The sequence below is a fragment of the Homo sapiens genome, chromosome 5, assembly GCF_000001405.40.
Source record: "Homo sapiens chromosome 5, GRCh38.p14 Primary Assembly".
In the NCBI taxonomy this organism is placed as follows: domain Eukaryota; kingdom Metazoa; phylum Chordata; class Mammalia; order Primates; family Hominidae; genus Homo; species Homo sapiens.
In genome coordinates, this window is record NC_000005.10 from 163,393,227 (window position 1) to 163,419,167 (window position 25,941).

The window sequence follows — 25,941 nt, forward strand, 5'->3', positions numbered from 1 at the left end:
CAGGTTAGGAAAAAAAAAAAAAGAAAAAAGTCTTGTAAAATTCATATGGAACCAAAAATGGGCCTGAATAGCCAAAGCAATCCTAAACAAAACACACACACACACAAACACACACACACACACATACACACATACACAAAGCTGGAGGCATCACATTACCCAATTTTAAAACTATACTACAAGGCTACAGTAACAAAAACAGCATGATACTTGTACAGAAACAGACACATAGATCAACAGAAAAGTACAGAGAACCCAGAAATAAAGCTGCACACCTGCAGCCATCTAATCTTTGACAAAGTTGACAAAAATAAGGAATTGAGAAAGGACTTCCTATTTAATAAAAGGAAAAACTGAATATCTATATGCAGAAGAATGAAACTAAACCCCTACCTTTCACTGGATACAAAAATTAATTCAAGACGGATTAGATTAAAGATTTAAATGTAAGACCTCAAACTATAAAAATTCCAGAATAAAATCTAGGAAATGCCATTCTAGACATTGGCCTCAGCAAATAATTTATTACTAAGTCCTGAAAAGCAATTGCAGCAAAAAGAAAAATTGCCAAGTGGGACCTAATTAAACAATAGAGTTTTTGAAAATAAAATACTTAGGAATATACTTATGCAAGCAGGTGAAAGACTTCTGCAAGAAAAACTGCAAAACACTGCTGAAATAGCTCATAGGCAACACAAACAAATGGAAACACATCCCATGCTCATGGGTAGCTAGAATCAATATTGTCAAAACGGCCATACTACCAAGAGTGATCCACAAATTTAATGCAATTCCCATCAAAATACCATCATCATTTTTCTCAGAACTAGAAAAAAAATCCTAAAATTCATATGAAACCAAAAAAGACCCTGCATAGCCAAAGCAAGACTAAGCAAAAAGAACAAATCTGGAGGCATCACATTACCTGACTTCAAACTATAGTATAAGGCTATAGTCACTAAAACAGCATGGTATTGGTATAAAAATAGGCACATACACCAATGGAACAGAATAGAGAACCCAGAAAAAAAGCCAAACACTTACAGCCAACTGATTTTCAACAAAGCAAACAAAAACATAAAATGGGAAAAGAACACCCTATTCAACAAATGGTCCTGGGATAATTGGCAAGCCACATGTAGAAGAATGAAACTGGATCTTCATCTCTTACCTTATACAAAAATCAACTCAAGATGGATCAAAGACTTACATCTAAGACCTGAAACCATAAAAAATCTGGAAGATAACATCAGAAAAACCCTTCTAGACATTGGCTTAGGCAAAGACTTCATGACCAAGAACCCAAAAGCAAATGCAACCAAGACAAAGATAAATAGATGGGACTTAATTATACTAAAAAGCTTCTGCACTGCAAAAGAAATAATCAGCAGAGTTAACAGACAACCCACACAGTGGGAAAAAATTTTGCAAACTATGCATCCAACAAAGAACTAATATCCAGAATCTATGAGGAACTCAAATAAATCAGCGAGAAAAAAACAAATAATCCTATTAAAAAGTGAGCTAAGGACATGAATACACAATTCTCAAAAGATATATAAATGGCCAACAAACATATGAAAAATGCTCAACGTCACTAATTATCAGGGAAATGCAAATCAAAACCACAACGTGATACCACCTTACTCCTGCAAGAATAGCCATAATTTAACAATAAAAAATAATAGATGTTGGTGTGGGTGTGGTGAAAAGGGAATACTTTTACACTGTTGGTGGGAATGCAAACTAGTGCAACTACTATGGAAAACAGTATGGAGATTCCTTAAAAAACTAAAAGTAGATCTACCATATGATGTAGCAATCCCATTACTGTGGATCTACCCAAAGGAAAATAAGTCACAATATGAAAAAGACACTTGCACCCACATGTTCATAGCAGCACAATTCACACTGGCAAAATATGGAACCAGCCCAAATGCCCATCCATCATGAGTGGATAAAGAAAACGTGATACACACACACACACACACACACACACACACACACACCATGGAATACTACTTAGCCATAAAAAGAAACAAAATAATGGCATTTGCAGCAACCTGGACGGAGTTGCAGACCATTATTCTAAGTTAAGTAACCCAGGAATGGAAAACGAAACATCGTATTTCTCACTTTTAAGTGGGAGCTAAGCTATGAAGACACAAAGGCATAAGAATCATACAATGGACTTTGGGAACTAGGGGGAAGGGGTGGGAGGAGGGTGGAGGATAAAAGATTACACAGTGGGTGCAGTGAACACTGCTCAGCTGATGAGTGCACCAAAATCTCAGAAATCACCACTAAGGAACTTATCCATGTAACCAAACACCACCTGTTCCCCAAAAACCTATTGAAATAAAAAAAAAGGGTTTTGTACAGCAAAAGAAACTATCAACAGAGTAAACAGACAACCTACAGAATGAAAGAAAATACTTGCAAACTATGCATCTGACAAAGGTCTAATATCCAGAACCTTAAGGAACTTAAACAACTGAACGAACAAAAACCAAATAACCCCATTAAAAATGGGCAAAATATATGAACAGATGCCTGTCAAAAGAAGACATACAGTCAATTACATATGAAAAAATACTCAACATTACTAATAATCAGAGAAATACAAATTAAAACCACAATGCCATACCATCTCACACCAGTCAGAATGACTATTATTAAAAAGACAAAAAATAACAGATCCTGAGAAGACTACAGAGAAAAGGGAACACTGAAATGTTGGTGGGAATATAAGTTAGTTCAGCACTGTGGAAAGCAGTTTGGAAATCTCTCAAAGAACTAAAAACAGAGCTACCACTCAACCCAGCAATCCCATTACTAGGTATACAGGCAAAGGAAAAATAAATCATTCTACCAAAAAGAACATGCACACGTATGTACAGCGCAGCAGCATTTGCAATAGAAAACACATGAAATCAGCCTAGGTGCCCATAAATAGTGGATTCAATAAAGAAAATGTGGTACATATACACTATGGAATAGCGTGCAGCTGTAATAAAGAATAAAATTATGACTTTTGCAGCAACACTGATGGAGCTGAAGGACATCATTCTAAGTAAATTAATGCAGAACAGAAAATCAAATGCCACATGTTCTCACTTATAAGCGGGAGTTAAACACTGGGCCCTTATAGATGTAAAGGTGGGAACTATAGACAATGGGGACTACTAGAGGGTAGACAAGGGGCAAGCAGCAAGGGTTAAAAAAGTACCCTTTGGGTACTATGCTCACTACCTAGGTAACAAGATCATTCATACCCCAAACCTCAGCATCACACAATATGCCCATATAGCAAACCTGCATATGTACCCCCACTGAATCTAAAATAAAAATTGAAATTATTTCTTTAAAAAGAAGAAAAAAATGCTACTAATTACTCCCATCCCAACTGATTTCTCCTGAGGAAGCTACTGATGTTTTTTATGTTGATTTTATATGCTACGACTTTACTGAATTTGTTTATCAGTTCTAAGAGATTTTTGGTGAAGTCTTTGGTAGAAATCTTTTCTTTCTTTTTTTTTTTGTTTGTTTGTTTGTTTGTTTGTTTCGAGATAGAGTCTCACTCTGTTGCCCAGGCTGGAGTGCAGTGGCACCATCTCATCTCACCATAACCTCCGCCTCCCAGGTCCAAGTGATTCTCCTGCCTCAGCCTCCTGAGTAGGTGGAACTATGGGTGTGCACCACCATGCCCACCTAAGTTTTGTATTTTTAGTAGAGACGGGGTTTCACTATGTTGGCCAGGCTGGTCTCGAACGCCTGACCTTGTGATCTACCCGCCTCGGCCTCCCAAAGTGCTGGGATTACAGCCGTGAGCCACCATGCCCAGCTGGTAGAAATCTTTAGGTTTTTCTGTATATTAAGATCATGTCATCTGAAAAGAGGAACAATTGGACTTCCTTTTTTCCAGTTTGTATGCCTTTTATTTCTTCCTCTTGCCTGATTGATCTGGCTAGGACTTCCAGTCCTATGTTGAGTAAGAGTGGCGAAAGTAAGCATCCTTGTTTTATTCCAGTGTTGTTGTTGTTTTAAGCTTGCTCTATATGAAGAAGAATATATGATTTTGTCCCCATTGCCATTCATTATTAACCGATAGATGCTGCTCAGGTCTTATGTTAATAATTATTCTGAGATAGTGGAAAAGGGTGTCACAGAAATCTCAGCCATAGTCACTGAAAAGAGGAATGGAAAAACAACTGATATATATTTTCCAACCATCCTCTGTATTTCTAAACACTATGCTTTGGTTTAATTATTTCCTCAAACACACACACACACCTCCTTTTAAAAGATTTATTACAGTCATGTGTTCCTACCTCTGATAGTTGCCATGTGATCCAGGCAATTCTATCCATGTGGTAGCCACCTGGTGTTGCAAGCTCAGACATTCAAAAATGGGGTTTGCAAATTTAACTTGTAAAAAGAAAATAGTAACCTGAAAAAGTATAAATATTAACACACACACATACACACACTTGTTTATTAACCATATTGCTTCAAAAGATTCTGAATAAACAGAGTACCAAATAAATCATCTTGATAAACCAAAAGTGGGGAGAGATAAGGTCTAAAACATGAAGGTAGGGTCTGGAAGTTTAAGCCTAGTAGAATGGAAGGTCTTTGACAGACCAATCTTAAGAACATGGAAGAGACTCTGAAAACAACAGAAAAGGAAAAAACACCAAAATCAAGCCTCTTTATTTCAGGATTTCTGAAGGTAGAAGCTGACTCTAAGGAACATCTTGTGAATGAGATGGTGTTAGACTCTGTCCCAAAATGAATAACCCTGAAACTGAAATCCACAAAGAGAAAAATCACATGAATTAGAGCTTCCGTAGTCTATCTTTAAACAGAATTTTTGGGGGAAAATCTATTTAAAACAAGCATTTAGAAAAACATCCTTTTCCTGGCATGATTATTATGTGCTTCATGTTGGCAGGAAGACTTCATTTCCAGTGATATTTTCCAATTGTTAAAATAAAAAAGTTCCTGCTGCTTTCTTTGCAATCCATAATTTTGTATTTTTAATTTAGATAACTCAAGTGTCTCAAAGCAGAAATAAGCTGCATATTCATGAGCCCTGATTTGCTGTAATCATTATTTCTGAAGCTCTGCATCAGTGAAGACTCCAAGTATTTGAGTCCTTGTTCTTAAGCAATTATAACAGATTGGCCTGGAACTGAGGGAGTTGGGAGACCCCACTTCTTCGTTTTTCTCTTTGACGGGCTCTATTGGTCTATCTGAGGTCAACTTTCTCTGCTCCCAAACAGGGCTGATAATCAGTTGCTTCAACATTGGCAGGAGGGATAAAAGTCTATTTAATATGTTAATTAGAGAATTGTTAACCTTTCATCAATCAGCCTTTGGTCATAAACAGCAAAGGGAAAACCGGAGGAAAAGACGGATATATTAAAATGATCTAAGAAAAAAGTAAAGGAAATTTGGAAATATACGCCAGTACACAGAAAGGCAAACAAGGTATGATCTCAGTTAAAAACAGAGAGTAGAACGTTAGTTATCAGAGTCTGCTGGAAAAAGCAAGGAAGGGGAAAAGGGAAGATGTTGATCAAAGAGCACAAAGTTTCAGCTAGACAGGAGGAATATGTTTTAGTGATCTATTGCACTGCGCAGCTTAAAATAATGTATTGTGTATTTCAAAATTGCTAAAAAAATAGATTTTTAACATTCTCTTCACCACAAAGTGATAAGTTGGTGAGTTGATGGATATGTTAATTAACTTGATTGAACCTTTTTATAATGTATACCTAGATCAAATCATCACATTATACCCCATAAACACACACAGTTATTATTTGTTAATTAAAAATAAAAGAGGCCAAGTGCAGTGGCTCATGCCTGTAATTCCAGTACTTTGGGAGGCTGAGGCAGGTGGATCACCTGAGGTCAGGAATTCAAGACCAGACTGGCCAACATGGTGAAACTCCATCTCTACTAAAAAAAAAAAAACAAAAATGAAACAGGCATGGTGGCACACACCTGTAATCCCAGCTACTTGGGAGGCTGAGGCAGGGAGAATTGCTTGAACCCAGAAGGTGGAGGTTGCAGTGAGTCGAGATTGTGCCACTGCACTACAGCCTGGGTGACAGAGTGAGACTCCATCTCAAATAAATAAATAAATAAATAATAACAAATAAAAATAAAAGAAAAAATAAAAAGGATTTTTAACTTCAAAAGAAGCAAACACACCAATAATGTTTTGTATATGTGAAAAATGTGGATGTAGGGATAAAAAAATTAAAATATGGCCAAAGAGTAAAGCCAAAAATAGTAGGAATTACAAAAACATCTAGAAATCATCTATCTTCCCATCTAAAACTTGGTTTCTCTTCATGGAAATAGCCCACATTTGTGATTCTAAGAAATGGGAGTTTCAATGTCACCTGTGCTACTTACCAGGTATCTGCCTAAGGACGAGTTCCTTAACCTCCTTATGTTTTGCTTTCTTCATCAGAACTGATATCTTCATCTGTGAAAGGCAATGATCACACTTTCCTCTTAAAGCTTGTCGGGAAAATTGAATGAGATGTAAGTAAAGAATACAGTATTGGGTCAGGCATAATGGCTCACACCTGTTAATCCCAGCAATTTGGGAGGCTGAGGCAGGCAGATCACTTGAGCCCAGGAGCTCAAGACCAGCCTGGGCAACATGGCAAAACGCCATTTCTACAAAAAATACAAAAATTAGCTGGGCATGGTGGTGTGCACCTGTAGTCCCAGCTATGTGGGAGGCTGAGGCACAAGAATCGCTTGAACCCGGGAGGCAGAGGTTGCAATGAGCCGAGATCCTACCACTTCACTCCAGCCTGAGGGACAGAGCAAGACATTATCTCAAAAACAAAAACAAAGAATATAGTGTTGAATCAGCACAAAGTACACACTCAATAAATGTTAGTATCTTGCCTTGCTTGATTTCTCCTTTTTACCCTCTGGCTAAATAGCTTTTGTGTTTTAAAGCCCTCAGAGCTCCCCTTATCAACAATTCCAGACTACAAGTATCCCACTTAGGTTTTTCTTCAAAAAGATAGCACTAGAAGAAATCTCTAGTAAACCGTATAAAGTGCTTGCCCCAGTAGCTGGACAAAGTAGTAGATCAACAAATTTTTATTACTGTATGTCTATTCGTCTATTCTAATCTTTCCATTTTCCCCAAGAAAATGTCAGCAAGAAGAAACAGAATACATTTGGAAACTGTGTCCTTTTTTTTTTTTTTTGGTAATTATTTGGCAACAGTTATGTGGACACATCATTCAGTTCCCGAATCAATTTGAATCAACAGCTAGGTTCCACACAAAACCTTCATTTTTCAGATGATGTATTTGAAGCACAGAAAGGTAAAAGCCCCCTTCCAGAGGTCACGTAACAGTGGAAATCTGAGATTTTTAAGACCATGAGATCAAAAAGAATTACGGATTTTGGGGCAACTGCTCAGCTTCTTCATATGGCTATATCTTATCTTTAAAAAACTGTATCTTAAAAAATCCAATCATTTCTGTCTTAAAAACTATTTTTTTTCTGTTTATTAGACAAATTTAATTTGAGATATATGGCCAGGTGCAGTGGTTCATGCCTGTAATCCTAGCACTTTGGGAAGCCGAGATGGGTGGATCACCTGAGGTCAAAAGTTCCAGACTAGCCTGGCCAACATGGCGAAACCCCATCTCTAATACAAAAATACAATAATTAGCCAGGCCTTGTTGCTCATGCCTGTAATCCCAGCTACTCGGGAAGCTGAGGCAGGAGAATCGCATGAACCCAGGAGGCAGAGGTTGCATGAGCTGAGATCCTACCACTGCATTCCAGCCTAGGTGACAGGGTGAGACTCTGTCTCAAAAAAAAAAAAAAAAAAAAAAAAAAAAAAGAGATATATTATCCACATATATAAAGCTACAGTATATCCATTGATTTATAGAATTAATCTATACTAACGAAATAATAATCTTTTTCTGTTGTTGAGGGCAAGGATTACATCTTAATCTTCTTTCTATCCCTAAAAGTGCTTAGTAAAATGCCTCCTAAAAAGTATTTGCAAAATAAATAGAGAATTGTGTTTTTTTGTTTGTTTCCCTACTCTTCCTGACGCTTTCCTTACTGTGCCGTTCACCAAAGACAGAGCTGCTCTTTCCTACCTCTCAATCTTTGCACCTGCTGTTCCCCTCCCTGGAATGCTCTTCCTCATCTCTTCAACTGACTGGCTTATTCTCATCCCTCAGTTATTGGCTTATGAGTCACTTCCTCTGCAGGGGCATCCTGGATCACCCATCGTGAACCCAAACAACTTATTATCTTACACCCTGGCGGCTCATTTACTTGTGCCCATCACAGTGTGAATGACCAGTGCTGTGTTCTACATAAGCTAAATAAGACAAGGAAGCTTAACTAACTGACTCACTGCTATATGCCAAGCATTGTGCCAGCAACTTAAAAAAGGCTCAACAAATATTTATTGAAAAAAACGAGCAAAAGAAGCTAAAGCAGAGACCAAGAATGAATTTTTTACCTAGTATTAGGAATAAAGGAGCTGACTCTTACTTGTCTTATGTTAGAATCAGAAAATATGGACTCAGTGCACTTGATTTGCTTTCTTCGTTATTACAAAATTAATCAATTAATTAAATTCATTGCCGTGTGCAAGTTTAGTACATTGGTGGGTTCTAAAATCTTCACTCCCCAATCTGAAGCGTTGGCTTGATTCTAGGCAACTATTATACCCTCTAAAATTAAAACTGGTTATTACATTGGAGATTTTGTGTTTCTTTTAATAATTGAGCTCCACTGGCTATTCAAGAAATCAGCACTTATGCTTCAGTTTTTTCTGGTTTGGTTACAGAGAAACAGCATGTCGATTCTCAGGACAATGACTAAAACGGCATTTCCCCCTCACCTCTACTATTTTTCTATGTAAGTGGATCAGAGCTGACAGGCCATTATAGCAGTACAGTACCCAGCTGACATTATTGACTGAAAAGCAACTACCTTGCTTATTTTCTGTTGACTTAATGATGGGACAGGCACAAATAGAGCTTGGTGTCTTTGCTTTTAGCCCTTAATCCCACCATGGTGCTCAACCACTACCATATTGGTCATGTAGAGAGAAATATCCAGCTAAACATAAAAACCAGCCCAGGGATCTTTTGAGATGACCACAATCACTCTTACATCTACAGTTTTCCCCCTTTCATCATATCAATCATAGGAAAATGCATCTCAAATCCCTCATTAAAAATAATTTTGGCTGTAATAACATCCTAAAACATTTTATAAATTTTATTTGTTAAATTATTTGACTCTAAGTAATATATTATACTTCATTTATACAAGCAATCATCCCAAATACTTAGAAATGCTTACAAGGAAAGAAAATCTAAAAAAGATTTTAAATTGAATACAATTCTTATGACTAATATATTAAAGAATCATTAAAATTGACAAAATATGTTTTATGAGTATTTGATTTAATATTCATCCTTTTTTGTGTGTTTTTCTTGTATCTTTGAGCCAGTTTAAACAATTTTTTTTTCAGGTCTCAAACACAATTCCTACAAAGTTTCTAAAACCCTAATCTGTCTGCCAGTAGTGCCTAAGCAGAAAAATCAGCCTTACACTTGACTAATTCCTGCAAAAGTCAGAGTTAGAACTGATCACTTTCAATAATCATTCTCTATATGAAAACTGCTGGTGGATTATCCTGAAAATGTGTAGTAAAGTAAAATAAATAAAGTAAAATAAATAACTTTCATCAAGTAGAGAAATGAATAGGCTCTTAATCTCTTTCAGAAATATTTTGACAGCCATAAATACGAGGTCTATAAAATAGTAAGCCCTCAAATATTTTTACTCATATGAGTTTCATTAGAATGGCTCAGAAATATCATCAGTTTTCCCCCTAAATCAAATACCCACACATCTTCACCTGGTGGTAGAAGCGATTATATTAAAATATTTTACCCTGAACTTGTATTTCTTTGTGTTTAACTGTTTAGAAACTTCTGACATGCTGGAATCTCTCTGCAAAAGTTGTCGTAATCAGTTTCAAAGAGATAGTTTACATACAAAACATTCTTTCCCATATCACGAAAAGAACTTCTAGTCACCAATATTTTTTAAGAAAGTGTATGTGGGGTGCAAATGAGAAGATAAAATAATCCAGAGCATGACATATTCATATTCTTATTCCCTAACCATTCAGTTTTAGCATTTGGTGTAATTTGAAGCAACCTTTCAAATTGCATTGTTGATTAGGTAATTTTCCTCTGCAGCTATCCAATTTTTCTGAAGCTCTTCTTGAATTGAGTGCATTAATATTAAAGTTTGCAAAATAGCAACCTTGGAAAAAACGTGCACTCTGACTTTTCCCCTTACAGAAGTGACTTCATCAGTGGCTCCAGCTCTCTGATGCCCAATCAGCTCCATAATGATGGTGATAATTATTATTTATTGAGCACTTGCAATACGCCAATGCTGCCAAGCACTCTACATGCATTACTTCATTTAATTTCTACAACAACAATATGAGACAGATATTATTATCTCCATTCTATAGATGAGGGAGCCGAGGCTCAGAAAATTTAAGTAAATTACAAAATCTCACCAATGAGAGACAGTATAATCGGAATTCAAAGCCATGCTATGTGACCCAAAAGTTCACACTCCTAACTAGTTTTTTATTAAGTGGATGGTTTAATCCAACTAGTTGTTTAATAAGGACAAGCAAAATTCTAAAAGATGATGATTTTTTTAACTAGTCCAACAATTTTGACATTGTGATGACAAAAACACTAAAGCCTGATCTCCCAACAACTGAGCTGATTATTTCTTATCGTCAATTATTGAAAACGATTTAACTGGTAGTAAATACAGATAAAAGCTTTCTGAATGTGGTGTGGAGGGCTCAGGTATTCTCATTTCAGTGGCATCAGCTTAAAATATGTACTCTAAGAAAGCTAGAGCTTTTCATCTTCAAAGTAAATATTGATTGACCTGTTTTTTTTTTCTCTAACTTTTGAGAAAGACGTGGAAAGAGAATAAAAGGGTAAGCTCAGCTAAGAACATGATCAAGGAGAGGATCAAAAAATATAACTCCAATGTTCTGTGTTCTTTGGCTTTAAATTTTTCCAATGAAGTAATAATCTATTCTGATATCTATTTGAATAACTCCACTGGACTTGAGTGATTTGTCAGAGAAATCGATAGCCATAGAACTGCGAATATCCTTTTCCACTTGTGAAAATCTGCATTGTCTTTTTGAAGCTTCCTTCTGTGTGATCTTTATTAAACATAAGCAAGGGAAGCACAAAATTCACTAGAATTCAATGAAGCTTTTCATTTACTTTCTTATATGTTATCCCTCTCTCTCCCTCCCTCTCTCTCCCCCCTCCCTCCTTACACACACATGCGTGCGCACACACACACACACACACACAAAACGAAATGACCTTTACTTACTTCACCGTTGCGTGCACACCTCAGCTACTTATGGGCTTTTATGTCTCTAACGTTATTTATTTCTGTATGCTTTCATCAAAGATTTATTGAGTACTGCTATGTCCCAGGCACTATGAACAACATCAAGTACAGAAGATGAATGATCTATAACTGCCATTGAATTTTGAAGGATCTTTAGTTTAAAAGAGTCATTTTAGAAAAAAAAAGAGCTAACATTTTTCCAAGCATTTATATGCCAAGCCAAGTGATCTTCATTTATTCTCTGCCTTAGTCAGCACAAGAGCCTCAGGAGGTAGGTACAATTATTTTCTTTCATTTGTCAATTGAGATAACTAAAGCTTACATAAGCCAAGTAATTTACAGAGGATCACAGAGTTAGTGACAGAACTATTGCGGCCGTTACTATAATAGTAGAAGCTCACTTATATTAAGCACCTACTATGTACCATGAATTGTTGTAAGCACCTGATATAGTTTAGCTTACTACTCTTATTACCCACCATTTACTGATGAAACAGTAGTACAGAGATGTTAAATAAGTTCTCCAAAGTTACCAGTAGAACTGGGATACCAGTTGTCCTTTTTTTAATTTATTTATTTTTCTTTTTTCTTTTTTTTTTTTTTTGACGGAGTCTCCCTCTGTCGCCCAGGCTGGAGTGTAGTGCAGTGGCGCAATCTCGGCTCACTGCAATCTCTGCCTCCCGGGTTCAAAGGATTCTCCTGCCTCAGCCTCCTGAGTAGCTGGGATTACAGGCACATGCCACCATGCCCACCTAATTATTTTTGGATTTTTAGTAGAGACAGGGTTTCACTGTTAGCCAGGATGGTCTTGATCTCCTGACCTCATGATCCACCCGCGTCGGCCTCCCAAAGTGCTGGAATTACAGGCTTGAGCCACCACACCAGGCCCCAATTGTTCTTAATAACTCACAGACTCAAGTCTGGCTGTGCCAAAACTCATGCTTGTAATCACTATGAAACTGAAAGATAACGTATGGTCTCCATGATTAGGACAATATTCCAATCTGCCTGGTCAAGGGATACTAATGAAAGAGAAGATCTTGAAGAACATGGTTTATTCAACACATCAAACATAAGACTTTGTGATCTCAATCTACAAATTGTTTTCTGAAGTTACAAAATTCAGCAGAGACATGGGGGCCATGAAAGTCCAATTCCATGGCTCTAGTTTGCCACATTTTCCTTATCTACAACAAAGGAGTAAGTGACTAAGAGTCATCTATTATCTAATAATACTTTCCAGCTAAGAGTCATCTATTGTATAATAATACTTTCCAGCTTTGAGCAGGGTGTTCCACAAGTATCAGGAAAGCAGAAATCAGGTACATTCTAACTTAATGTTTTGTTTCAAAACCCGATCATAGTGACGGGTGCACAGTAGCCAGTCAATAAATTGTTATTAGATAAATGTTGGAAAAAAGCTTTCTGAACAAGCACTTTGTAGTATTTGCAGGGCTGGGCCTAGGGCGAAGCAAATGAGGCTCCTGTCTTGGCACAGAATTTAAGGGGCATCAAAAAATTCCCTTGGCTTCGGGCTCCAGTATGGTTCAGCACAACGTTATTACTGATCCTGTTCTTACGAAAATTGTAGATGTTTCACTTATCATAAATTATTTTGCACCAGTGTTGCCCCAGCCCTGATTACACACACTCTTCCTGATAACTTCCTGCCACTTACTACCTGTTTTATCACATGTAAGTTACTGAAAGTGTTCTGAGACTGAGTTTCCTTATCGGTAAAATGGGAATAAGAATTTTTAATTTATCATACTGTTGTAAGGAGCGAATCAGGTGGCATGTGTGCAATCTCTGACTCAGTGCACAGCATAAAATTGGAGCTCAATAAACATTACTTCCCTTGCCTGACAAGAGAAGTGTCTGTTAAATCGTTTCTTCACGTGGTTAATTATTTTGCTTAGTTTTTCTTCCCCAAGAAGATCAACCAATCCTTACAGGATCTCTCATTCAAACTGGTTATTTCTCCCAACAAGTTGCCTCTCGGGCAGATTGTCTGAGCTCAGGGGTTCGAGACCAGCCTGGGCAATGTGGCAAAACCCTGTCTCTACTAAAAATACAAAAAATTAGCCAGGCGTGGTGGCACACTCCTGTAATCCCAGCTACTCAGGAGGCTGAGGCAGGAGAATCACTTAAGCCTGGGAGGCGGGAGGTTGCAGTGAGTCAAGTTCGTGCTACTGCACTCCAGCCTGGGCAACAGAGCAAAACTCTGTCTCAAACACACACACACACACACACACACACACACACAAAGGTGCCTCTATATGATGCCGAGATATCAGTTGATTCAGAAAAGTCAGACAGATAAAATGGCAGCCAAATGTTGCTTTATTATTGAGATGGACTAATACCATTCATGGTTTCCACCTTGTGGTTTTGTCAGCCTATCTGAGAGACACAATCCAGATACAGTAGAAACTCTCTTACTAGACTCAGTAGATTAATGCAAATTCTCGAGCACCTCTGCAAAACCTACTGACTAGTGGCCAGGGCAGGCTGAATGTTTGAGGCTTGTATGTGACTTCCTGGAATGCCCACACACTTCTGCTGCCTCCAGCTGTGTTGCATGCTTACTAAGAGTGTGTTTGTAATTAGACAGTAAAATTTAATACACAAGGCAAAGAAAACTTAGGGCAAAAAGGGAGAAAAGTTGCTATTTCTATGAGAACTAAGTTGAATGCTTTGGGAAAACAATCAATAAAGGCAACGTAAGCCAAAAATATTAAAAAATGACTCAGGCAAGGAGCCTGTCTTCCTGGATTCACAAGGAAGTAGAGGATTTCAGGAACTGATGCAATTTTAATACAAAGTAGAAAGTGGTGCCTGCTACAAGAAAATCACACCTAAATTTCTATGCAAATAGATTACAGTTTGGAGCTTAGGGGTTACAATTCTAACATTCAGTTAGATTCAGAGATTTAATTTCTAAATCCTAATTAAAACTGATTTATTTCCAGCCGAGCACGGTGGCTCACACCTGTAATCCCAGCACTCTGGGAGACCGAGGCGGGCGGATCACTTGAGGTCAGGAGTTCAAGACCTGCCTAGTTAACATGGCAAAACCCTGTCTCTACTAAAAATACAAAAATTAGCCAGGCGTGCTGGTGGGTGCCTGTAATCCCAGCTACTCGGGAGGCTGAGGCAGGAGAATCGCTTGAACTGGGAGGCGGAAGTTGCTGTGAGCCGAGATTGCGCCTCTCCACCACTCCAGCCTGGGCGACATAGTGAGAGATTCTGTCTCAAAAAACATAAAAATAAACTGATTTATTTTCTATAATAAATCTAGAAAAGGCTAACATGCCATTCTGCAAATAAAACCAGTGGAACTTAGAATGTTGCAATACTGAGAATATATTTTTTTAAAAAAAAACGTGTATAATTCTCATTTCATCATAAAACCTCGGGCTGAATCTAGCTGTACTTTCCTAAGATTGCAATAAATCTACTAATTGCAATGACTATTCCTCAAGAATTTAATGAGCGTGGTTTACTGGCAAATTCATTTCTACCTTTCAGCTGGGTGGTCTTGGGCTCTTGCTAAGCCTCTCTGACCGTCAGTTTTCTCCTATGTAAAACTGTGGATAACAACACTTATTTCATGAGGATGCTGTGAGAATTAAATGAAACAATTTATGTAAGCGCTGGCACATGGTAGTTACCCTTCTCTGCCGCAAGGCAGTGCCCCCACGGGTTTAATTAAAGCTTTGGCTCTTTGCCTCTCAGTGAACAAAAAACTTTGAGTGTCATAATTAATGGATGAAGTCCAAAAAAATAGAATGTCAAAACCACGCGCAGGATAAAAACGAATAAGCTGGCACCCTTTTCAAATTCCTAGGCTCATTTCCCCCCCTAAATTTAGACAGGGTTGGCTGCTTGAAAAATGGCGTGAGCCTGCCATCTAGTGGCTACATGGAGGAACACCAAACCCCTTGTGTTCAGGAACCAGAGCTAGAGAATCTTTCCAAAAGGCATCTCTAATTTTAAAAACACCCCCTCAACACAAGATTTGATTGGCAGCAACATGCCAACTTCCTTAATCACAGCAACGAAACTACTAACACATTCTTCGAGTTCTCCTCCACTGTGTGCCCCACATTCCCAGCCAAGGCCTTGCTGTTCTGTGGTCTCACAGGCTTTCACCCTGTCAAAACCAGCTGTCAGTCAGCTGTTACATTAAAAAGAATCTGATTCATTTACTTTGTAATCTTATTAAAAATAATTCCTACTGCAAAGTATCCCCATGGGGATTTGCATTTTGATTTGATTTCACTTAGATACTATTTGACTTTGCGTTGGGTTTTACTATGTATTTAGCTAAGGATGCAATTCTTCAAGGCAGTGTCTCTCCAGCTGCATCAAAGTGCATCAGAATATTCTGGAGGGCTTTTTAAAGCTCAGAATATGGGGGCCCCATCACTACACTTTCTGACAATGTGACTTTCTAATGAGTTCCCAGATACTATTGAAGGAAATCAAAATTTTTTACCCCAAAGTATATTTACTTGACATATTTTGGGAGATAGATGGTTGTCAAAGAGCCCGCAAACAGAAGTGGCCCTGCAAGGCTATCTTTAGTGGGGAAGATTTGCATCTGTAGAGAATCTACATTAATGCAGCTAGGTCCTCCCTTGTCCAGATGTAGGAAGATTACCTGAGAGTCTGACACCTTTAAACATCAGAAAGAAACATTTACCACCTATCTCTCTGAAGGTTGCTACTTTGTTACCTAACAAGATCACCTTTTCTAAACAAGCCACTTCTTCTCCCCGTCCCATAACCTGTCTTGCCACTATAACCTGATTGACCACCATAACCTGGTTTCGGCCATGCAGTGAGCCTTCATTATTTCTGTAAGCTCAAGTTGCATTCCATTACGGGGTTGGGCAGTCACACTGTAGTCCTTCCCACGTACACGTTAATAAATTTTGTATGCCTTTTCTCTAATTAATCTGCCTTTTGTGAGTTCATTTTTCAGCAAACCTTCAGAGGGCAAAGGGGAAGTTTTCTCCTTGACCCCTAGAATACGATATTGTTTATCTGGGGACCACAATTTGGGAATGATGGACCAACTTCTAATGACACAATTTCATAATAAGACACAGCTAATGAGCAAGACCATTTTTAAAAGGCATTTCTGCAGGCTGAGACAAGAAATTAACATGTGAACAACACAAATTATTTTAAATTACCAGGCCTAGAGAGACATTAAAATGAGACCAGCATATGCCCTTTGAACTATGTATTCATCTCTTGAAACTGCTTACTGTTGCTATAAGTAGCTATAAATTATCTAACAATGCAACAATGGACACCATAATCCATACTCTATAACTTAACAATGTGTAGCCAATCATTAATCACTGTTATTTCTATAAACCAATGAGAATTCCTGACAATTTTATATCAGCCGCTCCCTGTCCCCCTTTTTTTGCCTTTAAAATCCTCCCTGCAGCTGGGTGCTGTGGGTCACGCCTGTAATCCCAGCACTTTGGGAGGCCAAGGCGGTGGATCACCTGAGGTCAGGAGTTCGAGACCAGCCTGACCAACATGACAAAACCCTGTCTCTACTAAAAATACAAAAATTAGCTGGGCATGATGGCATGCGCCTGTAGTCCCAGCTACTCGGGAGGCTGAGGCAGGAGAATCGCTTGAACCCAGGAGGCAGATGTTGCAGTAAGCCAAGATCACACACTGCACTCCAGCCTGGGTGACAGAGCGAGACACTGTCTAAAAAAACAAAAACAAAAACAAAAAAAACAAAAAAACAAACTTTCCTATGTTACCACCTACATTTCTGAAATTCTCCACTGCCACCACTGCACTTGAGGTGACCACCCTCTCTCTCCAAGTCTCAGTATTTATGTCACTTCCTCCAGGACAATCTCCCTGACCACTAGTCTAGGTTCGGGGCCTGTCTGAGGACTTTCACAGCACTCTACACTTCCTTCCACACTCAGGCCATGACCACAATAAATGTAAATTGAGTGTTCACTTGTTCCAATCCCAGCCCAGATGCTGAGGGTTTTACCATACACACATTGTATCTCAAATGCCTGGGGCAGGGCCTGGCTCAGAATAGGTGTTCAGTGTTTCTTAAATGGATGAACAAACGAATGAATAAAAATGAGTACATGAGTAGCTGCCCTCTCCACTTGGCCCCTTCTATAAGACATAAAAAAAAATGGGTAGCTCTGAGTAAAGTGTTTTCCAGTTCAGAGATGTCTGGCCTTGGTAGGAGCGTGCTGACTTCCCAGAGTATCGTGAGTGGCTGTGATCTGAATAACATATCACGGCTGAGTGTGAGCCAGGCTTACACTCAGGACATGATGCAAGCGATGCTTTGCTTAAGTTCAACAAACACATTGAAGCCTTATGGTACATCAGGCATCATGCTAGAGACACCGAGTATAAAGATCTGCTAATCACTCCTGTGAGACAGGCGCACAAACAGAATAGTACTGCAGCATCCCAGAGGACGGAGAAGCAGTGTGGGCCAATCAGGAAAAATGAATTAGGCCTTTGTAATGAGTTTCATAGTGGCCCCTGAAAGATGTATCCAGGCCCCACCCTCAGTATCTGCGAACATGATGTTATTTGGAGAAAAGGGCTTTGCAGATGTAATTAAGTAAAGACTCTTGTGATGAGATCATCCAGATTTAGGAAGGCCCTGTGTTCAATGACTAGCATCCTTCTAAGAGAAAAGAGAGGGAGATTTGAGAAAAGGAGAAATATGGAGATGGCTATGGGAAGCTGAAGGTAGAGACTGGAGTGACAGGCCAAGGAATGCCAAGGATTGCCTCGTAGGCATTTATTATTTCCCACTCACTACAGGATTTTTTCCTTTACTTTTTCCTTTTACCTGAAATCAGCCACTTTATAACTAGAACACACTGTGCATCCATACGGTTGAATTCCAGGCGTTGGAACGCCTTTTGTTGTTGGTAAGAGACTCCCTGTCTTCTTCAACAGATCCTGTAAACTACTTAACGGTGCAATGCTGTTTACTCATAGCATTTTTTTTTTTTTTGGATGGAGTTTCACTCTTGTCACCCAGGCTGGAGTGCAATGGTGCTATCTCAGCTCACTGCAACCTCCACCTCCCAGGTTCAAGCAATTCTCCTGCCTCAGCCTCCCGAGTAGCTGGGATTACAGGCATGCGCCACCACACCCAGCTAATTTTTGTATTGTTAGTAGATGGGGATTCACCATGTTGGTCAGGCTGCTCTCAAACTCCTGACCTCAGGCGATCCACCTGCCTCGGCCTCCCAAAATGCTGGTATTACCGGCAGGAGCCACCACGCCTAGCCACTCATAGCATCTCTTAATAGAGAACTCTGTAAAATAAGATATTGAAAATGAAAATAAGATAAATACGTATTTTTAACCCAAACAAGATCTTGTCAGGCTACTTACTTTGAAACACATGATCTTCTTCAGTACTTGCCCCTAATGGCAGTAGTCTTAGTAAAGATTTAATTTTACAGGAAAAATGTTCCTTCTCAGCCCCCAAGCCAAATGTCCTCATCATCCTACCCTCAGAAACTCTATCCACACTTTGCCCAAGCCCCCGGAACTCACCAGTCTGGATTTGATCCGTCTCCAAGACCAAGCGGGGTGGTGCTCACACACCCCTGATCCTCCATCTGTGAAAGCAGAGACCAGAGAAGCATTTGATCTGCCTAAGACATCAGAGACAAGTTCAGTGGGCGCTCTCTGAGCCATTTCCTAAAAGTAGAGCCTGGGCTTCTGGTCCAATCTAGGGAGAGAGCACATGGTCCTCCAGACTTTGCTGACCTTATACTGGTCTATATGGTCTAGGTTCATCAAAGTGTTACTTTTGCCCCCTCTTCAAATTGTGCTGTTTAAACTTCTATTTCTCCATCTTCATCACTATCATGTCCCCTTGGGGTTGGAATCTCAAGAAGCCAACATATTGAAATGTTCAGAGCAATAAATGGTCTCCATAATCTTTGCAGTGAATACATCAACTCTATTTTGCTATCCCAATAAGCTTTTAAATATCCTAGTTTCATATGAATTTACATCAGGCCATAATGAGGCAATGGGACAACATTTAAACCACATATAGACTAAGTGGCGTTTAACTCACCAACTCAAGTGTGGAAGAAATTTCACATTATTTCCTTTAAACCTACTTTTCTCATTATGTCCTTCTGTAGACTTCCATGGGAATCTGGGGAGCTTATAAATACTTGAAAAAGTCAACAAGAGTTATTTAATCTTCAGCCCATTGTGATTGCTGCCACTATCCTCACTGTCTGATTCTGCAGGGCCCCTTGAAGTGGGCGGCTCCACCGCAGCCATGACACTGGGGCGCAAGGCACCTTGCCAAGCCGACCTAGGTTTCAGGCTTCTGGAGTTGAGCACTCCATTGGCAGTTTCTTCTGCAGCTTTGCCATTCTCTAGGTAAGGGCTAGGGCTGCTGCCAAGATTCCATCACGTCATAGTGCTATTGTATCATGGCCTCTTACCACTCTAGGAGAGGGGCTGGAGCATCCCTAATTATGCAGGTGAAAGCCCCTCTCAGGCAATCTGAAGTCTGGCTTTGCTAGAACTCTGTGCTGGCCTAGAATAAACAGGCCAAAGGTGCCCACGTGCCTGCTACCCCTACAGTCTGAAACTTCTCCAGTGAACACTGCTGTTTCAGGTCTGACAATCTGTGCCCCCTGGTCATTTGCCCTTATTTGTACATCAGATGCCCTATCCCAGAAAAGGAGATGATGAATCTCTGGAGTATGAATCACTTCATTATTTTATATCATTTTTTAAAATTATCTGATACTCTAAAGCCACGCAAAAAGATTAAGGGCATATTTGAACTACCTTTTAACAAGGCATGCTGAATATATGGTTGATTGTCACACGGTTCAATAAAAATTCACTAAAGCAATAGTGAAATAAATGTAAAAAGTCTAAATTCAAAATGTAAAGAGAATGGGAGAGGAGACAATGAAGAAGAAATTAACATGTTTTTTTGAGACTGAAAGTTGATATAGGAATGGTAACTGATTTACCAGAGCTGAGAAAGCTTAAAACATGACTTCAGGAAAGGTTTCCAAAAAAGAAATCCTATTCAGGAAAGAAAGAAAAAAAGGAAGGAAGGAAGGAAGGAAGGAAGGGAGGAAGGGAGGAAAGGAGAAAGGGGGAAGGGAGGAAGAGGGGAAGGGAGGGAAGGAGGGAGGGAAGGAGGAAGGAAGGAAAGAGGGGAGGGAGGGAGGGAAGGAAGGGAGGGAGGGAGGGAAAGAAAGGGAGAAAAAGAAGGAAGGAAAGAAGGAAGAGATGGAGGGAAGGTGAGACGGGAAGGAGGGAGGAGAGAGAAGCTCACAGAAATTGAAGGCTCCAGGTAACCTAGAAGATAGACTGAAATGTATGTGATCAGTTGATAATCTGTATAAGGAGCAGTTAAGCTCTCAGATCCCCATGCCCTCATCACAGCCAAGCAACTGCTCTTCCCTAACCCCCACAGCATACTGCAGTGCTTGTTCTCAAAGGACACTGCAGCAGAGAGACCCTAGACTCTGGAACACCTGGCACCCAGAAAGCAGGAGAAGGCATCCAACTAAAGACAGGTTCTGAGAATGCCAGCTCCCTTCCCTACCTCACTCTCAAAACACTTTCAAATAAATTTAATTTTAAGAAAATATCTGCTGACAGAATATCAGAGGATCCCTTGGTGGAGAAAATAAATGCCCCCCAAGAAGCTCTATATATAATTTTTGTGAAATAGTTTTGTGAATAGATCTCTCAGTTGTCTAATCATCAATATGCCGGAGATGATGATGCCCAGTCACTTTGGCATGATTGACGTTTTGGACCATAGAATTCCTTGTTGCTGAGGCTGTCTTGTGCATTGCAGGATGTTTCAAAGCATCCTTGGTTTCTCCCACTACATGTCAGTGATGGCCATTCAAAAATGTCCCGAGACAATGCCAAATGTCTCCTAGGGGAAACAATTATGCCCCATATAAGTACTGCCACCCTACAAGGAAACCCATTAGCCCATTAGTCAACAAATACCACAAACATACACACAGCTCCCAAACAGCTTTCTAATTACTCACTTCTAATGATGAGCAGCCAACAGAAACTCCAAAGCAAAATAAGACAGAAACTAAAATAAACAGAACAAAGAAACTCTTAAAAATCAAACAGGGAGAATTTCTATGTGTGTTTAAAATTGTCTGTGAGAAAAAAAGTTGTTAAGTACAAAATAAATAAAAATATGGAGATAAATGTAACAAGCAGTTAAAATGCTAAGGACTTTTGTCTCAAAAATGAGGTTTTGGTGGCTCACGCCTGTAATCCCAGCACTTTGGAAGGCCAACACAGGCAGACTGCTGAAGTTCAGGAGTTCAAGACCAGCCTGGCCAACATGGTGAAACCCCATCTTTACTAAAAATACAAAAAATTAGCTGAGTGTGGTGGCACATGCCTGTAGTCCTAGCTACTCAGGAGGCTGGCGCAGGAGAATCACTTGAACCCAGGAGACAGAGGTTGCAGTGAGCCGAGACTGCACCACTGCACTCCAGCCTGGGCAACAGAGCGAGACTCCACCTCAAAAAAAAAAAAAAAAAAAGCGGAATGTGGAGATGATTTGAGTGACATCAGTAGATATGGAATTACCTGTCACTATTAGTGCTAAGAAAACATTAGGTGATAACTGCCAAATGTGTACACAGACAAGTGATATAAAAATTTAAAACAGAGGAACACACTTAGCTTAGCTTTAGGAGATTCTGGCATCTCATAGGAAAAGGGATCAAATTATAAATGATATACGTCTGGAAATTCAGTAAAAATAGTAGGTTGTGCACAGTGTTTTTGCCATAGTAGTGAAGGCACGGATTTCTTTTGTTTGGTGTTCTTGGGGACAAGATGACAAATGTAAAAGTCCCTTAATTAGTGAGAAATCACCAGCCTTCTTTGGATCTACCCCACTTAGGGAGAGGAGATGGTAAAATGACGAATAAAGGGAAAAGTGACTGAGGAAAGAAAGGTGAGAGGAAGCTGCAGAGGCAGGAGGTGGAGGGAAAGTGCAGATCTGCTGGCGCGGGGTCTGGGGTCTCAGGTCTCGGCCGCCTGGGGAGCCACCTGCCTGGAGAGGCAGGTTGCGATGGCAGCGCTGGGCTACAGACCCCGCCTTATCTGCGGGGAGGAGAGGACGGGTGGAGTCACTTGCCGCATTGCCACAGCCCCCTCCTCCTAGTTTTAAGAAGAACCGAAGCATTGTTTCTGCTTTAACAGCAGTCACTCATTCCTTATAACTGAAAACAACGACGGTGGGCTCTGGCACCTCTTTCGGCTCCTTGTACTGTTGGAAAAAAAAGTCTGGGAAAACGTGTACCTTGTTTTTTAAATGGGGATGATTGTGATAGCCAACAGGCATATGATAGTTTTATTTCCTTGCTTTTTCCCCCCAGTACATTGACGATTCTTTGTAGCTACTTGAACTGATTTTAAAGACATTTCGAAAGAACTATAAGTCAAGCTATAAAGTATTTGGCTTTTGCGGGAATAAAACACGCCTTTTGAGTCAAACACAGGTCTTTCAGGCACTAAAAACAAGTAGGAAATGAGAAAAAAAATTAAAACCAGAAGACTTCAGGAAAGTGACAAATTGGAAAGCATTCTAGAAGACTCATAGGACGACTTTATGTGAAAGAAGCACTCTAGGAGCTTTAAAAGCTTATGGGCAATTTATATTATAAAAGGATTTTAGGCTCAAAAGTTTTGGGGGAAGGCACAGAAAAAACAGTGCCATATTCTTAAATTGGCGGGGCGAGCAAAGGTCGTGGAGAAGACCCCGGGAAGCTGCTGGAGCCGGCAGAGGAGGAATCCCAGGTTTTGCGCGGAACTGGCCACTGTAAGTGGTTCAATGTGCGCATGGGATTTGGATTCATCTCCATGATAAACCGAGAGGGAAGCGCCTTGGATATTCCAGTCGATGTATTTGTACACCAATTCCTGTGATGTCACCAAATCCCCAAAAAGAAACACATGCCTAGGTGCTGTACTTTGTCTCTCTTTAGACATGTTGATAAATGCTGTGAGATTCTGCTGTTTGAGGATGAGACAGGATCTCGCTCTGCTGTCCAGGCCGAAGTACAGTGTTGTGATCATAGCTTGCTGTAACCTCAAGCTCATGAGCTCAAGTGATCTTCCCACCTCAGCCTCTCATGTAGCTAGGACTACAGGTGTACACTACCATGCCTGGCTAATTTTTTTCTTTTTTTTTTTTTTTTTTTTTTGGTAGAGACAGGGTCCCAGGCTGGCTTTGAACTGCTGGCCTCAAGTGATCTTCCTTCTTCCACCTCCCAAAGTGCTGGCCATAACACCTGGTCTTTCTGAACATTTTCAATTGTATATTTTTATTTTACAAAGCCAGAGATATAAATAATATTCAAGGCATCCAAGAAAAAAAAATTTAAAACAGAAAAAGTTATTTTTCTCTCCTCCTAAGAGATTGAGTGAATGATCTTAAAGGGCTGGTAAAAATTGAGAAGGGTGGAGGGAAGTGTGGGGCGGGGGAAACATTTCAGGCAGAATTCTGTTTAGATGAGACCCCACACGCAAGTTGGGAAAGGTCCAAGCATATGGAGACAACAGAATCAATGTTACTAGAGCAGTTAACAGGGAAACCAGGGTCGGATTTGAGTTTCCTCAATGGGAAGATAGGAGGGCTCCAGTGGAAAATCTCCAAGGTCATGTCAAACTCTAACTAGAATGTTACTAACTAGAATGTCTAACTAGAATGTCCAACTGTAATCTAATGTAGAATATCTAAACTGAATCTACTGTAAGTCTAAAAATTGTTAAGGGTGATATCAACCAGTATTTAGGATTAGGAAGTATCTTTAGGGTTCCAGTCCTGGAGAGAGAATATGTTCATATCCAGGCCTTTGAGAAACTGACAAGATGAAAAGTATCAGTTTATAACGTCATTATTTGAAGATAATTCATAAAAGAAACATTAAATCCACTAAAAATGGGAATATCATTTATTATTAAATAATGGAAAAATTTTATAGGGACAATCATATTGCAAAGAGAAACTAAAGATTATTTTTTAAAAATCAATCTTACACTTAAAAATTTGTTTATAATAACAATTATGTCCTAATTCCTACAAGAAACAAAAATAGAATTAAGGATTGACTTTTTGCTTTTGGCATGATCCTTTTGATAAAATTATATGAAAGCTCCTATGTCAGTCTTTCTTTCATATTCCATTTTCAGACTTTTGAAAAGTCTTCTAGAATTTCATCAATTTTCCCAAGGACTTTACCTTACCCTTTGATATTCGAATCCCTCATTTCTAAAGTATCTGTGTTGCCATCATCCTTTTTTTCTTTTTTTCTTTTCAGACGGAGTCTCGCTCTTTTGCCAGGCTGGAGTGCAGTGGTCCGATCTCAGCTCACTGCAACCTCTGCCTCCCGGGTTCACGCCATTCTCCTGCCTCAGCCTCCTGAGTAGCCAGGACTATAGGTACATGCCACCACACCCAGCTATTTTTTTTTTTTTTTTTTTTTTTTTTTGGTATTTTTAGCAGAGATGGGGTTTCACCATGTTGACCAGGACGGTCTCGATCTCCTGACCTTGTGATCCGCCTGCCTCAGCCTCCCAAAGTGCTGGGATTACAGGCGTAAGCCACCACGCCCAGCCGCCATCATCCTTTTACAAGGTTTGCAAATTTATGGTGTAATATATTTGGGTTCTATTTACATTACATATTCTGCTTGACATTGACTGTTGCGGGAAGTCAGGGATCCTGAATGGAGGGACCGGCTGAAGCCATGGCAGAAGAACGTGGATTGTGAAGATTTCATGGACACTTATTAGTTTCCCAAATTAATACTTTTATAATTTCTTATGCCTGTCTTTACTGCAATCTCTAAACATAAATTGTGAAGATTTCATGGACACTTATCAGTTCCCCAATCAATACCCTTGTGATTTCCTATGCCTGTCTTTACTTTAATCTCTTAATCCTGTCATCTCATAAGCTGAGGAGTATGTATGTCACCTCGGGACCCTGTGATGATTGCATTAACTGCACAAATTGTAGAGCATGTGTGTTTGAACAATATGAAATCTGGGTACCTTGAAAAAAGAACAGGATAACAGCAATGTTCAGGGAACAAGAGAGATAATCTTAAACTCTGACCACTGGTGAGCCGGGTGGAACAGAGCCATATTTCTCTTCTTTCAAAAGCAAATGGGAGAAATATCACTGAATTCTTTTTCTCAGCAAGGAACATCCCTGAGAAAGAGAATGCGTCCCTGAGGGTGGGCCTCTAAAATGGCCCCCTTGGGTGCGGCCGTCTTTTATGGTCGAGCTGTAGGGATGAAATAAGCCCCAGTCTCCCATAGTGCTCCCAGGCTTATTAGGATGAGGAAATTCCCGCC

At 39.6% G+C, this 25,941-nt stretch overlaps 1 long non-coding RNA gene across 5 annotated transcripts in view, besides 1 other annotated feature; it reads right to left on the reverse strand.

The window, feature by feature from the left end:
* The window catches only part of LOC105377700 (uncharacterized), a 348,217-nt gene that overhangs the window by 304,121 nt on the left and 18,155 nt on the right, over nt 1-25,941 (reverse strand). For 3 of the 5 annotated variants that reach the window (XR_001742961.2, XR_002956233.2, XR_001742965.1), the window contains exon 1: nt 19,093-20,328. This is a non-coding gene — a long non-coding RNA (uncharacterized LOC105377700). Of the gene's footprint in view, nt 1-3,854; nt 4,188-6,223; nt 6,503-19,092; nt 20,329-25,941 lie in introns of those variants that run through there. The other 2 variants (XR_001742963.1, XR_001742962.3) reach the window with 2 other exon arrangements.
* Nucleotides 13,823-14,022: a silencer, noted in NCBI's record as "silent region_16588". NCBI's record gives its function as "represses an Ori minimal core promoter by ATAC-STARR-seq in GM12878 lymphoblastoid cells {active_cell/tissue: GM12878}" and the evidence as "EXISTENCE:reporter gene assay evidence [ECO:0000049][PMID:35858748]".